Source organism: Homo sapiens, chromosome 1 (assembly GCF_000001405.40).
Source record: "Homo sapiens chromosome 1, GRCh38.p14 Primary Assembly".
Lineage (NCBI taxonomy): Eukaryota > Metazoa > Chordata > Mammalia > Primates > Hominidae > Homo > Homo sapiens.
The window spans coordinates 149,802,052-149,818,037 of record NC_000001.11 but is presented as its reverse complement, the minus strand read 5'-3'; the positions used below and the strand labels follow the sequence as shown (position 1 = coordinate 149,818,037).

Sequence of the window (15,986 nt, the reverse complement as noted above, 5' to 3'; positions counted from 1 at the left end):
AACTCCCAACAAACTTGCCCGCCTCGGGCTCCCAGATGCTGGAATTACAAGCATGGGCCACTACACCCCGGCTCTTGGTTGTTTCTAATCTTTTAAATTACTATCAATGTTGCATCAACATCTTACTTATTTGATATTAGTAGTGTAGTATAGTGACTAAAGGAAGACTCTGGAGTTGAAATCTGGTTTGGCACCGACTGTGTGACTATGAGAAAGTTTCTTAACCGCTCTGTGATTCCTCCATCTCCCAATCTGTAAATGGACATACTTACACTACCTACTTGACAGGGTTTTGTGAGGATAAAATGAGTTAATACATGTAAAGTGTTTAAAACATTCTTGGCACCAAGAAAAAGTATGTAAGTGTTAGAAAAAAATATGCATATATAGGCCGGGCGTGGTGGCTCACGCCTGTAATCCTAGCACTTTGTGAGGCCTAGGCGGGTGGATTGCCTGAGCTCAGGAGTTCGAGACCAGCCTGGGCAACACAGTGAAACCTTGTCTCTACTAAAATCCAAAAAATTAGCCGGGCATGGCAGTGTGCACTTGTAACACCCCAGCGTTGGCAACAGATATCTTCTTCTCCCTTGGCTGCTTCAGGGTAGAGAAGAAACATGCTTGCCCCTTTCTGACTCTGTCATAACTCTTGCAGAATGTATCACATTATTTTACATCTTTCTTTTTTTTTTTTTTTTTTTGGAGGCACAGTCTCGTACTGTCACCCAGGCTGGAGTGCCGTGGCGCGATCTGGGTTCACTTGAAGCTCCGCCTCCCAGGTTAATGCCATTCTCCTGCCTCAGCCTCCCGATTAGCTGGGACTACAGGCGCCCTCCACCACGCCTGGCTAATTTTTTTTAAAAAAATATTTTCAGTGGAGACGGGGTTTCACCGTGTTAGCCAGGATCGTCTCTATCTTCTGACCTCGTGATCTGCCCGCCTAGGCCTCCCAAAGAGCTGGGATTACAGGCGTGAGCCACCGCGCCCGGGCTATTTTACATCTCTTTACATCTTAGTACTTCGTCCTGGCTGTTTGTTCCTTACTGGCAGTGATTTTTTTGGGGGGGCGGGGTGCGGGGGACGGATTATCCCTGGGTGGTCCAGGCTGGAGTGCAGTGGAGCGATGTCAGCTTACTGCAACCTCTGCCTCCGGGGTTCAAATGATCTTGTCTCAGCCTCTGGAGTAGCTGGGATTATAGGCGTGGTCCACCCCCCCACCCCTGTTTAACATATAATCAAGAAATAACCATAAAAATGGGCAACCAGCAGCCCTCAGGGCTGTTCTCTCTATGGAGTAGCCATTCTTTTATTCCTCTACTTTCCTAGTAAACTTGTTTTCACTTTATGGACTGGCCCTGAATTCCTTCTTGCTGGATATCCAAGAACCCTCTCTAGGGGTCTGGATCGGGACCCCTTTCCTGTAACACATATTCCAGTGGAATACGTTACATAATAAAGGCAGAAATTGCAAAAAATTTGAGCTTACAGTACAGGTAGTAAGTATTAGGGACCAGTAGAAAGGAGAAAGGTGCCAAGTTTTATCAAATGAGCAAGATATTTAAGGAATGAGTTTATCTCATAATGGGGTAAGGAAAAAAGCTGAGACTCTCATGGCTTCTTCAACTTGGTCCAGGGCTGCAGACCATTCAAGAGAAATTCAAATCAGGCATAGGGCCTCATCAACCCACAAACCAATTCAGCTGGTCTCAGCTTATGATACTTATAACCCTGAGGATACTTGAAGCCAAAAATGAAACATAAATTATCTTATTGGAACATCTATGTTAACTTAGTCCGTTACTTTTGTATTAAAAGTAAACACATGTACATACAAAACATTATGTGCGTAATAATTCATTTATTAATATTTTCTTTTGCCTTCTTATTTCTTGTTAGGTAAATTTTAATCTTCTCTTGTCTATTCCCCCGTGCTACCTAATGAAATTTCTGTTCTCAGTATTCAAGCTGCACAGCCTTATAATTTCTGCTGAAGGACACTTCAAAAATTTTAGGAGGAATATTCCGTCTTTGTTACAACTGAAGAAAAGCAGAGCTTCTTTTGCACCATAAAGTTGCTTCTGATATAGTGGTGGATTGAGACCTTTCACAGAAATGTCACTCTAGTGTCCAATGTGGGGACTAGGTGAAATTGAACTAACAATTGATCTGAATTCTGTTATTAAAGATGACTTTTAAGGCAACTATACATCTGATTGTTTTATTCTGAGAAATGATACCTATAGCCATTAAAGTCTGATTGAATGCCATTTTCTTATTTAAATGAACACATCCTACATTATGGTCAAGACTGCATACATCATAGAGAAAGTATATTGCAAAGAAATGTGATGCTTGGGTGGGCTGCTTTGGGCTATCATCCAGATTCCATGGGGTAGTTTTCCCTTCTAATGGGAATAGTTGGGTGTAGATGTTTGAGAAATACTAGATGATGTGATTGCTTGATGGGAAAACGCTTTTGTGCTTTAAACTGTGTTGGCTGGGTGCGTGGGGCTCATGCCTGCAACCCAAGCACTTTGGGAGGCCGAGGAGGGTGGATCACCTGAGGTCAGGAGTTCGAGACCAGCCTGACCAATATGGTGAAACCGTGTCTCTACTAAAAATACAAATAAATAAATAAATTAGCTGGGGGTGGTGGCTTGCGCCTATAGTCCCAGCTGCTCAGGAGGCTGAGACAGGAGAATTGCTTGAACACAGGAGGCAGAGGCTGCAGTGAGCAGAGATCCTACCACTGCACTCCAGCCTGGGTGACAGAGTGAGACTCCATCTCAAATGAAAAAAAAAAAAAAAAGGTATCCTCTAAGCCTAATGAAATAGAAAGTTTCATCATTACAGTTTCATTCTTTTGCTTTAGAATATTACACAGGCTTTGTTACTTACCCAGGACAAGCCATAATTTCTCTGAGACTCAGTTTTCTTATCTGTAAAGTGAGAAGAGTAACATCTATTTCACAGAGTAGGGATTAAATGATAAAGTGTATGTAGAAGAACTTTAAACACTGAGTAGTGCCTGCTGTCTGTAAGGCATTATTACAAAACTACCACAGAGAGGGATAACATTTGTTCACATCAGTTACACTTTTGTACATTTTAGATCTCTCGAGAGGAGGATGCTTCTGCCCATGAGAGACTCTTGAAGATATTAATTAAGCTCACAGATTTCTACTTTGTGTTTAGTGTTCAGGAAGTCCCCTTGAAATCACTTTTACTTTACTTTGACTTCAGTAGGAAGATAGTTCATAATGACACCATCAAAGTAAGTTTTAAGCGTTTCGGGCCTGCTTTTCTCAGGTTTGAGTTTTTATAGTTTGTAATGATTTTTTTAGTAAAATAAGGATATGATTAAAAGTTTTATATTAACTACTACAACTTTTAAGTATCAGTTGCTTCTACATAACCACTATGATATTTACTGTTCTGAACAATACATACTTCAAAGCACATGAAATTGAAAAAGCAAAGCATCTTTACTCTCTTCATAGAGAACAGAAAAAAAACTAAACTTTTAAGCATTATAAAATACTTTATTGAATAAAATGTTAGCAAGTCAGCAATTGATGAATAATTTGCTTTGAAACTTGAACTTGTAATCTGGCTAATAAGCACTAATTTACAAACTATTCTACATTGTAAAGGAGAAATGAATTTCTGGTGTTGTCCTTCTTTGATTTAGAAGCTTAACATCTGCAGGACCTAATTGGCCATTGATGTGAGGTTGAGGAAGAAGGAACCACATCGCAGGGAGAAAAGACTAAAGGAAGGCAGAGGCTCTAATATCAGGTCAATATAGGTCAGCACACTACCCACATGAAATGGCTTTGGCTGGGTTCCAAGGTCAAGTAAATAAGATCAATTTTTTCATTCCTTCAATTACATATTTTTTTGCTAAGCTTCGGTCATTCATGGTATACAATGCATCTAACTTGCTGAGCAAAATGCCAGACATGAAATAAATGTTAGCTATGGTAGAAGAGCTACAGTAACAGGTAACCTGAAACAGGCTGATAGCTCATAGAAGGGCATGCTTGAATTCGGGGAAAAAAAAAATCTCTGTTAAAATGGGATGCAAAACACTTTATACATTGCTTTTACAAAAGTTAGACTAATTTAAAGGAAAGTCTTCAAAAACAATCCGTGATCGATAAAATTACAGAAAAAAATCAGGAAAGGGGGAAATAATAAGGGAAGAAAGATTAGCAGAACAATCTTCCGCCCCAGTAAAGAGGATTGAATTTTAACCAATGAGATCACAAGTTTGAAAATTTCCTTTTCAGGCCCAATCAAGAGGAGACTATGTCTATAAATATGACTGCCTAGACCCTCTCCTATCAATGAGACAGCATGGCCCGTACTAAGCAGACTGCCCGCAAGTCGACCGGCGGCAAGGCCCCGAGGAAGCAGCTGGCTACCAAAGCGGCCCGCAAGAGCGCGCCGGCCACGGGCGGGGTGAAGAAGCCGCACCGCTACCGGCCCGGCACCGTGGCTCTGCGGGAGATCCGGCGCTACCAGAAGTCTACGGAGCTGCTGATCCGCAAGCTGCCCTTCCAGCGGCTGGTACGCGAGATCGCGCAGGACTTTAAGACGGACCTGCGCTTCCAGAGCTCGGCCGTGATGGCGCTGCAGGAGGCCAGCGAGGCCTACCTGGTGGGGCTGTTCGAAGACACGAACCTGTGCGCCATCCATGCCAAGCGCGTGACCATCATGCCCAAGGACATCCAGTTGGCCCGCCGCATCCGCGGGGAGCGGGCCTAAGGCATATTTTTAAGTGGTCGATCTAAAGGCTCTTTTCAGAGCCACTGCCGTTTTCATCAAGAGCAGCTGTACCGGCTCTCCATCTGATGTGCGTCTGCCTTGCGCAGCGGTCAGGGGCCAGGGGCACTCGTGGTGGGTGACGTTACAGAACCCAAAGCCCAGCCGTGAGTTGGCCGGCAGTAGAGAAAGCCGCAGAGGCATGGTCCTTGTGGTTCCGGCCGAGCGTTTTCACGCTGGTTTAAGGCTAGAGGTCCGGCTCCCAATTCTGTGGGTAAAGTTTTGCATGGGGGCAAGAGACTATGGGGAGTTTCTAGATGTGGAAGATCCTGAGTGTAAGGGTGGGGCGAGTCCCTTAAAAATTATAAACCCGTTTCCTGGTTTATTTAGGAACTATAAGCTTAATTAAAGCTCAGCATCTTCCTCATTGCATACTACAGGCGGTGTCCAAGCCAGAATAGTAATTTAAGCGGGCGGGAGTAAATATCTGGCGATTTTTAAAAATGGGTGAGGTAGTATTTCAAGGAAGAGAAAAAAATTTCCACAAAGTATAGAATAAAAATGCAAAAACGAGGCAAGAGAGTTAACTTGTCTAGCTGGCGTTAAGATTTCTTCCGTATGCAAGTCTAATGGAAAGTGAAAACCAAGAAAAAACCCCAAGCCGTAGAAACTATCGCTTCACCTAGCTTAAAACTGGTTAGTGTGAAATGGACCATTCTGATAGGATAACAAGACTTTTGTTACAGTGACCATTAAGGAAGCAAGACTAGAATCTATTATTTACATAGACTCCACCCCCTCTGACGACACCGTTGTAAGTTAACCAATGAAAGCGCAGCACTTTGCGAGTCTTCATTTGCATACGGGCTCTATAAGTAGCGCATAACCAGCCCGTTTTGCGGTAGTTCGGATTACTTCTTTAAGTCTCTTTTCTCTTTTTTCGCGCAAAAATGCCGGATCCAGCGAAATCCGCTCCTGCTCCCAAGAAGGGCTCCAAAAAGGCTGTTACGAAAGTGCAGAAGAAGGACGGCAAGAAGCGCAAGCGCAGCCGCAAGGAGAGCTACTCCGTTTACGTGTACAAGGTGCTGAAGCAGGTCCACCCCGACACCGGCATCTCGTCCAAGGCCATGGGCATCATGAACTCCTTCGTCAACGACATCTTCGAGCGCATCGCGGGAGAGGCGTCCCGCCTGGCGCACTACAACAAGCGCTCCACCATCACATCCCGCGAGATCCAGACGGCCGTGCGCCTGCTGCTGCCCGGCGAGCTGGCCAAGCACGCCGTGTCCGAGGGCACCAAGGCGGTCACCAAGTACACCAGCTCGAAGTAAGAGTGTGCAAGGGACGCAATAGATCAACCACCTAACCCCAAAGGCTCTTTTCAGAGCCACTTCAGTAATCGAGAAAGCAGCTGTAAACACTTGTCAGAGCGTTTGATAGCTTTTGGTCAGGTAGGGAGTGTTACCATGGTCACGGATGCATTCGGGTTTAGGACTAAGGAGTTTCCTGTAGTCCTGTAATGAGTTGGCCCTCAGTCATCCCCGTCCAGTCTTACTGAGTTGCTTGTTATCTGTGCTACGAGATTCGAAAGGTTTGACTCGTTCTGGGATATTTGGGAGGGATGGAGGGAAGGAGGCGGGGGGTGGTTCTACACCCCTTCGGCCTTTAACCTGTATCTTTAAAGTCGTTTTCCTTTTTGTTTCTGAAAGTAATGAACGAGATGAGATTTCCCATACAGATGAGAAACCCTCGGTCCGACCTCTTACTATTTCTTAGTGTTTTAATCTGTTTTCCTTACCATATACCTACAGGCGTCTGTCACAAACTTTGTCTAATATAGCCATGTGCTTTCGTCCCTTAGCCTTTTTGCAAGTCCTGACTTAGCCATCCTCCCCTAACTTCCATTCCAGTGACTTCAAACAGGGAGATATATTGCCACCACCCCACCCCCTGTGGAGTATTTGGCAATATCTGTAGATGTTTTGGGTTGTCAGGTGTGTGTGTGTTGCGGGGGAGGTGCTAGAAGTATCCAATGGGCAGAGGCCAGGAGTGCTAAGCATAAGGCACAGGACAGTCCTCTGGGGGGACAAAGAGCTACCTGGCCTGTAATGTCGATCTTTGGTGATTGAGAGACCCCAGCGCCCAAAGACATCCCTAACCTTCAGGATTTAATCCTCTTCAGTCAAACGTTTCCTTAACCCTATCAGCCCATGTTTTTCTTTTCTTGGTGAAAGCTGAGCACTTCATAGGCTGTTTACAGGTCCTTCTCCACAGGAAAATACTTCCTCCAGGACAAGAACCCTGTCTTGGTTCCAAACTTTCCCAATTATAAGAGTCACCTTTGCGCTTGTTAAACCTGCTTCCAGGTGCTTCTCCTGAGGTTTCCTGATTCAGCTAGACTGGAGGTGGGACCTGACGAGGTGGTTGGTTTTTAGTGTTCTCAGGAGTGTGGATGTTTTAATAGGTGTTGGGTCCTCATGTTAATCGACCTGTGGGTGTGTCACAGTCTTTGTGTCACAGATGTCCTGAGAAAGGAAACAATTTGAGGATGAGTGGAGGGGAATTTGTGGTGTAGAGAAGGCCACAGTTAATATGTGGGGTGAATTTCTGAAGACCTCTCAGTTCAAAACTTGAATAACTCAAGACTCATCCTGACAAAAGCCAGTGGATGTTTCTTTTGCCAAATAAAATATACCCTTGGTGCAACTGGAAAATCTTAGCTTATAATTAACTTGACAGCCTTTGAAATTAAGCCATTCTTGATAAATCTTGGGGGAATTAACAACTTTGTGCTTAAAATGAATTTTACTAATTTTTATGATGTTGAAATTCAAATTTACACCCAATTAAAAGATATAAAATGCGGTATACATGATTTTTTTTTTCCACTAGAAAATAAAGATTCCCAGTTTAGTCATCTTTTTCTGATCACCAGACAAGAGGTCAGGGAAAGATAACTGAGAATCCAAAATTTCCGTTGAAAGTAAAGAAATCATATATAGCACATTCTCTGGTAGGAAAGGTTACTCAGTAAGTGAGACGGCCGAGGTGGTCTATTTTCTATACAGTTGGGCCATAAGAGAATTTATCCAATTTCCTCCTAGCTTAGGGTCCTGAAGTCAGGAGTTCCTTTTTTCTTAAGGATTAGGGACCATGTTTTTCAGGGCCTTTTGAAGTTGTTAAAGCATTGTCAACTGGCTCAACTACACAAATGCCATCATTTATTATCCACTGACCAAAAGATTAACTTCCAAATCCTCATCCTGACACTAAAGGCCACCTATTATCTAGCCAAAACTTACCTTCTTCACTTGTTCTCCCCAGTCCTCCAGCTTAGCCTAAATGTTCTACTGTCATGTAAAGCATTTTAACTTTGTCTTCTGTGCTTTTGTTACATTGTTCTGAGTTTTAGTACTCAGTCCTCTGGACTACTTGAAGCTTTTTATCAGTCTGTCAGTTCTTTTAAACTCTTGCTCAAATCTCACTCTGAGAAGCTTTTTCATCTCATTGTAGTTCACAGGGAAGTCTTTCTCTTAAGGCCTCATTCCTTGCATAACGAATAATTGTGTAGCTTTTTAAACTGTAGGCTTATTCCTCAATTTCTTTTTCTTGTTTTTACATTTTCTTGTCTGTCTTCTGCTAGAGACATATGCTTCTCGGTATTTATTCCACAAAGGCTATCCCAATGCCTACTATAAAATAGCTTCTCAATGAAAGTTTGTTGACTGGTTGCCAGTCAACAGAACACTAGAAAATTGATCTGAGAGTGGTGGGTTCTAGTAAATACTCTAGTAAATATTTTTCTCTACTTTTTTTCTAACTTTTTTTCTTACTCCTTTACTATGGATACTCTTTTAATTATTGCCCTTCATAATTATTGGCCCAGTTGAAACAACTGTTATAGATTCAAAAATCCTCAGAGTGGTAAAGTACTACACTTGGCATCTTCCCTTGAGCCGATGTATCTATGTAGCTAAAATGATGAGATTAGAGTGGAGCTTTCTCACCCTGGTTTGAGGTGCTGCAGAAATGGTCTGCTTTTCTAGTGCCTTGAAAAAGGATGAGAAGAGAGGTGCATTCCAGAAGACAAAAGGTGTGTAGTATCAGGATAAGGGGCTTTAAATATCAGATCCAGAGAACACTGCACATGTAGAAATGGGCTTGGCCTGGGTCAGGGCATTGAGATTGGTTACATAATCTTTTCAAGGATTGGTGAATGAGTTGGAGTATGTGTAGAAACCTACAAAGATGACAGTTTAATCTCATGTCATAATTTTTAGACAAATAATGTATTTTAAAACTGGGTGCAGTTCCTAAAGCTGTTCTAAAAGTCAATGCAACTGAATTTGGAATGTAAGCATAGGACAACAGATGGGAAATAAGTACATGACCTCTGTGGGATAAAGTGAGAGTTACCAAAGAATGTCAGTGTTTAACTAGGAACAAGCTTGTTTTGGAGAATTACTAGATATTATGGAAAATTTTTTTCTTTTCTACATTTGATTAACTATAGCTGAACTATAGCAGATCATATGACTTGGCAAAAATAGAAAACTTGATAAAAATCTTCTAGGCCCCACAATGTCAACATGAACAAACTTTTGAAAAGTAAAAGTAGACCGTGTTTTCTCAGTATGTATTATCAAATATATGTTGAACATAAAATTTTTGCCCCTCAGCCAGGTTGTAATATTTTCCTTTAGTTTATCTCTTTAATAATTTTTTATGTTAATCCATTTTATTTTGAAAAAATAATGAGCTAGAGGATACAAAGATGTAAATGAATCTAAAAGAGAGAATTAAACTGGCATAAAGATAAATATAATTCAAGCAAGATATGTTATTCCCAAAAGAAGAGAAAGAAGGAAATGTTATGTGAATGGAGAGTGAAAGGTTGCCTCTGGTTGGAGAGTTCAGGAAAATTCTGTGAGAACTTACATGGTGCCAGCTACTGTGCTAAGTGATGGAGACACAAAGGTATCCATTCCTCAAGTCCATAAGGTTCAACTGGAGTTTTCTGTGTGACGAGTATATCATGTATCCTCTGAAATTATTTTTTAAGTTTTAGTTTTACCCAGTTTTTACTGTAACCTCTTTCAACTTTTTAATTGTCTGATTTGGGTAGATGGAATTCTCATTCCATTTTTATTCTGTGATTAGAGGTTATTAATTCCTCACCCCTCATCCAGGTTGTAACATTTCCATTTACTTTAAAATATTGCTTAAGAAAATTTGTATTTTACTTCAATTGAGATTTTATTTTTTAATATTATTATATTGAACAGCTTTGGCTATCCCACCCTCCTACCTGCAGAGTGCAAAACAATTTATGCACATCATACTCAGTTTACAGCATCAGAACACTCTTGGAGCATTGCTCACCATGGTCCTAGCTTGATTTTCTTGGGGTGTGATTATTCTTTCTTTTCTCTCTTTCTCTCTCTCTCTCTCTTTCTTTCTTCTTTCTTTCGAGATGGAATCTTGCTCTGTCACCTAGGCTGGAGTGCAGTGGCACAATCTCGGCTCACTGCATCCTTTGCCTCTCGGGTTCAAGCGATTCTCCTGCCTCAGCCCCCCGAGTAGCTGGGATTACAGATGCCAGCCATCATGCCCAGCTAATTTTGTATTTTTGTAGAAATGGGGTTTCACCATGTTGGCCAGGCTGGTCTCGAACTCCCAACCTCAGGTGATCTGCCTGCCTCGGCCTCCCAAAGTGCTGGGATTACAGGTGTGTACCACCATGCCCGCCCCCCCCCCCCCCCGCCATGCCTTTTTCTTTTCCCAGACAGGGTCTTGCTCTGTCACCCAGTCTGGAGTGCAGTGGCATGATTACAGTTCATTGCAGCCTTGACCTCCCAGGCTCAAGTGATCATCCCACCTCAGCTTCCTGAGTAGCTGGGACTACAGGTGCATGCCACATGCTTGGCTAATTTTTAGAGTTTTTGTTTTTGTAGAGATGGGGTCTCACTATGTTGCTCAGGTTGGTCTTGAACTCCTGGATTCAAGTGATCCACCTGCCTTGGCTTCCCAAAGTGCTGGGATTATAGATTGGTGTGACTATTAGGCTGGTGAGTGAATAAGCTTTTTCTTATTTTCCAAACGCAATTTATCAGACAATCCTCTTGGCTCAAAATATGTCCAGCATCCAACCACATCTCACCACCTCCACCACTGTTTCCCTGCTCCAAGCTTCCACCTCTCTTGGATATTTGCAATGGCATTTTAAATGGCCTCCTTGATTCTGCTCTCTCCTTCCTATATTTCCCACAAAGCAGCTAGAGTACACTTTTTGAAACATAAGTCAGATCATATCATTCCCATACTCCTCCTCAACAGAAAACCCTCCAATGGCTTCAGCATCAAGGCCCACATTCACTTCTCTGACCCTCTCTCTTACCTGTTTTGCTCCATTTCATCATAATTTTCTCCTTGTACTTCCTTGAATACATCAAGGCCCTTCTATCTCAGGATGTTTGCACTTGCTATTTCCTTTTCTCAAAGGCTCATCCCTAGATACTTGCATGACTGGCTTCCTAATTTCTTGTAAGCTTTTGCTCAGAAGTTACTTTACCAACTGTCATTGAGGTCTTCCCTGAACATCTTAGGTAAGATAACAAGCTCCCCTCCTTTTCTTTCCTCACTTCTTGGTATTCCTTATCTCATAACTTTTTTTTTTTTTGAGACGGAGTCTCGCGTCTCGCTCTGTTGTCCAGGCTGGAGTGCAGTGGTGCAATCTCGGCTCACTGCAACCTCCACCTCCTGGGTTCAAGCGATTCTCCTGCTTCAGCCTCCCGAGTAGCTGGGACTACAGGCAAGTGCCACCATACCCAGCTAATTTTTTGTATTTTTAGTAGAGACGGGGTTTCACTGTGTTAGGATGGTCTCGATCTCCTGACCTTGTGATCCACCCACCTCGGCCTCCCAAAGTGCTGGGATTATAGGTGTGAGCCAGTGCGCCCGGCCTCTCATAACTTTCTTAATTATTCTCCATATACCATCTGAATACTAATGTATTTATTTGTTTATTTCTGAATGAGACTGATATCCATAAAAATGATCTTTCCTTGTATACTCTAACTCCCTGCTTTCTGGGCGCTTGGCTTCTCAATTAAAGGCTAATTTACCAGCTTCTCTTGCATCTGGGTTTGTCCAAAGTTTGGGGCCAATGAGATGTGAATGGAAGTTGCATGTATTATTTCTAGTTTGTGCCCTAAAAAAGAATATGTATGTGTTGCCCTTGCCCTCTTACCCTCTCCACTGGCTGGGGTGCAGATGTGATGGCAGGAATTGGGGCAACTACTTTGGACCCAGAGGCAGAAGCCCTGTGATGAGGATGGCAGAACTGCTCTGTTAGCCCTGGACTGTTACATGAAAGATAAATAAACTTGTATCTTATTCAAGCCACTGTTTTTAAAGACTTATTTGTTGTATTACTCAGATATAGTCTAAGTTATTATATCATTTGTCTCCCCTCCTACCTCCTCAGAATAAGTCCTATGAAGGTAGGTGCTTTGTTTCATACACCGCTCTATCCCTATTATGTAGAACTATATCTGGAATACATTAGGCACTCAATATCTATGGGATGAATGATGGATTCAAGAAACAGAAGTAACTGAGTACATGGGAAATGGGATTGTGTTTATGACAGGTGGAGCTCCAAGAGTTGAATTTAACAAGAAATGATTGAGTTTGAAATCTTTTGCCCTCTAAATTAGGGACAGCACAACACAGAATGAGGATTTGGGTGAAGTTGCAACCACCGAGGTCCACATACCAGTTTAGAAGCCTCAGAGTATAAGTCATTGGGTATTTAAGGACCTTACCTAAGCTAACTCAGAAGCATTATGAAGGGCAGTATTGACATTAACTGCCAGGAATCTCCTAAAAGTCAAGGGATTATACATGAGTCATAGAAGGATACTTGAAGATGGACAATTATAGTCCCATCACTTTATGGAACACTATAAGACCCAAATAAGAGAAATCCCAGTGGTCCACGAACTTAGCTCTGGTAAGTCCCCGATAATTATTTAAATTATTTCAGGTTCAATATCACTGATTGCTGTCACCATTTTCAAGGCTAATATCTAATCTGCTTTGGTTCTGCTAAGATCTCCCTGTTTTTTTGTCGTTGTTTTTTTCCTCTAGAAAAAACAGAAAAGAGAACTATCTCCAGATGGATACAGAAGAGGTGGTAAAAAGAATACACATAACGTGGCTCTCACATGATCACATATCATGCTGAAGGCTCTCAGAGGCAACTGAGGTTGGAGATCATTTTTAGGGTCTTAAGTTCAGAGCTGTATCTGTAATATCAACAACAGATATTCTGGCTCTTACCACCTTGCCCATTTCTCCTCTTAGCACTGTAAGAGTAGTTCTTGCTGAGAAGGCACTAGCCTGTAGTGGCGATGAACATCAGCTTTGAGTATAGCTTCCCCACGTAAGGACTGTATGACCTTGGAAAACTTTCTTTACTTGTTGTGATAAATAAACTTCCTTACAGCAAATTGATCCTCAAGTTATTCCCCTGTAAAGTGGAAAACATAATGGAAACTACCTTCTAGGCTTGATATGAAGATTAAATGAGGTAATGTACCCAAAGCACTTAGTACAGTGGCTGGAACATGGTAAATATTTGATCAGTGTTGTTCTTATTATTGTTATGGTTAGGAAGGCGCTAGCAAGAGCACCATTGTACTTCCAGAGCACATTCCATTTTCCAGCAAGTGGTGCTTTAATAGATTTCTAGTGACTTGAGAGTGACTTCCCTAAGCATCTTGCATTAAGGAAATAAGACCTTCTGTATTCTAAAAACACCATCCAATAAGGGATTTTCACAATTTACTTGTAGGACCTTTGTTATGTAGAACCTTCAGTGTCTGCTATGTGGCCCATTAGGAAAATAATAAATTAGGAAATGAGACTTTATAGTGTCTGTTACTAGTGCTCTATAAAGGCCGATATAACATTTGGCAAGTACCTTCTTTTTCTATCAGATGATGCTTTTAATACTTCATGTCAATACTTTCAGAAAAAAGTGAAATCATTTCATTAAACACTTCTTTCCTATTTCTGATTTTTGAGTTGAAAGCTCTTAATTTTGAGGATTTAACATAAGAACAAGTCAAGGGAATAGAAATTATCTAGAAAACTATTAGCTAGCATAGAGAAAAACAAGACTTACAGCCAAAAGAAGAATGTGCAAATAATTTGGGAAATGTTTAAATAGAAATTTAAAAATGGGGTTGGTGGAGTCATGTTGATGATTTTGGATTTAATCATTTCTGCTTATTAAATTGTTTCCAGCATTTTCTAGCTGAAGTTACTGTTGTTGTCAACTACTCAGCATCCAAAATTTTCACAAGAAAACAAGGTTTTTTCTCTTCAAATTACAGTCCAAAGAGTGGCAAACAAGAAAGATGACAGAGTCCGAAGACCTTAAGATTTCTTTTCTTTGGTCAAGAACTCATTATACAATGGATGATACATCTTAGGTGGTCCTACTAAAAAGAGACACAAGAATCTAGAGACTATCTCACTGTCAACCAATCCAAGGAACTTTGCTTTAGATGGCCAAAGCCAGAAACAGCAAAGTAGAAGAACCACTAGAGCTTTAAGCAGTTCCTTAGTATTTTTCCTTGGTTTATCCAAGCCTGGATACTGGTCCACTTTCCCAAAGTTGGTAAAGAGCTAATACAGCTTGGGATTGATTGGATATTGAGACAGAAAGAGAGGGGGAGAGAGAGATATCTAGGTACTGGAGCAGCACTAGGCACTCAGAAGAAGGAACACTTGGAGCAAAAAATGAAGGATATAGATTAGTGACGTGAGGTCAGGAGCAAATGATCTCAGTTGCTTTACATGATCAAAGGACAATAACTGCAAATTACCAGAGGGTAGGTGAAGCTCCATATCACTTTTTAATATTAGTGTTTTAAACACCTAGGAATAGAATATACCTAAAGATAATAGCTTGATTTCCCCACACCCACCTTTGCAATGTTTTGATTTTGCACAAGTCTTGGTTTCTAGTTTGTGGGATTATCATTTTTCATTGCATTGAAGGAAAATTCTTTAGGCCAGGAGGGAGTCTAAGACTTCAGACACAGCACAGATACGATCCTGGGCAAGGGTCATTCAGTGTTCTTAAGAAAATTCTAAATCCTAGGGTGTGATGGTTAATATTAGGTGTCAACTTGATAGGATTAAAGGATGCCTAGATAGCTAAGTATTGTTTCTGGGTGTGTCTGTGAGGGTGTTACCAGAGGAGATTAACATTTGAGTCAGTGGACTAGGAGAGGAAGACTCACCCTCAATGTGGGTTGGCACCATCCAGTCGGCTGCCAGGGTAGCTACAACAAAGCAGGAGAGAGAAGGTGGGCTAAGCTGGCTTGCAGAGTTCTGGCTTTCATCCCTCTCCTGTGCTGGATGCCTCCATCCATTCCTCCTGCCTTTGGACATCAGACTCCAGGTTCTTTGGCCTTTGGACTCTTGGACTTAACACCAGTGGCTTGCCTGGGGCTTTTGGGCCTTAGGCCACAGACTGAAGGCTGCACTGTGGGCTTCCCTACTCTTGAGGCTTTTGGACTCAGACTGAACCACTACTGGCTTCTTTCTTCCTCAGCTTGCAGACGGCCCACTGTAGGACTTTGCCTTGTAATCATGTGAGCCAATTCTCCTTCATAAACTCCTTTTAATATATCTGTATCTAATCTATTATCATCTATCTATATCTATAGATATATGTCTCCCCTATTAGTTTTGTCCCTCTGGAGAACTCTAATACAAAGGGTTAAGTCTTAAACTACTTATAATTTCTCTCTGGAACTGTATTTCATCTAGTTTGGAATGTTTACTTACTTAAGACCCATATTATATGTAGAATAATGAGCAGGAGAAAGGTATGCTGATTAACTTGTATATATATTAGCCATAGGATTAGTTCCAGCAAAGGAACATACTTGCTTTTTTTGGTTTCTTCAATCTTCTCCCTGTCACATTATGAAAATTTGATGATTTTACTTATTTAAGTGTCTTTGTAGGAGATTTTTCATGGATCTTTTTAAGTGTTTGACCTCTGATTTTCATAATTTTTTTCACATTAGTATCAAGGTATTAGGTAATGGAAATTATTCTTAAATAACTCCCGCCTGCCCCCCTGAAACAGCAAGCATCTATAGAGTAGAAGACAGTTTTCAGATTAGCAGGAGAGTTAA

At 41.6% G+C, this 15,986-nt stretch overlaps 2 protein-coding genes across 3 annotated transcripts in view, besides 2 other annotated features; both read left to right on the top strand.

Annotated features, from left to right (window-relative positions):
• H3C13 (H3 clustered histone 13) lies at positions 4,345-4,813 on the top strand. The gene has a single exon (NM_001123375.3). It carries the CDS (start codon positions 4,357-4,359, stop codon positions 4,765-4,767), a length of 411 nt encoding a protein of 136 aa, NP_001116847.1. The 5' UTR covers positions 4,345-4,356; the 3' UTR covers positions 4,768-4,813.
• Positions 4,416-4,705: an enhancer, noted in NCBI's record as "active region_1654". NCBI's record gives its function as "activates an Ori minimal core promoter by ATAC-STARR-seq in GM12878 lymphoblastoid cells {active_cell/tissue: GM12878}" and the evidence as "EXISTENCE:reporter gene assay evidence [ECO:0000049][PMID:35858748]".
• H2BC18 (H2B clustered histone 18) overlaps positions 5,668-15,986 on the top strand; it is a 29,682-nt gene continuing 19,363 nt past the window's right edge. Inside the window, exon 1 of one of the 2 annotated variants that reach the window (NM_001161334.2) lies at positions 5,668-6,091. In NM_001161334.2, coding sequence (NP_001154806.1) covers positions 5,715-6,091 — 377 coding nt within the window. In that variant the 5' untranslated portion in view covers positions 5,668-5,714. Of the gene's footprint in view, positions 6,160-15,986 lie in introns of those variants that run through there. The other variant, NM_001024599.5, reaches the window with a different exon arrangement.
• Positions 5,929-6,008: an enhancer, noted in NCBI's record as "active region_1653". NCBI's record gives its function as "activates an Ori minimal core promoter by ATAC-STARR-seq in GM12878 lymphoblastoid cells {active_cell/tissue: GM12878}" and the evidence as "EXISTENCE:reporter gene assay evidence [ECO:0000049][PMID:35858748]".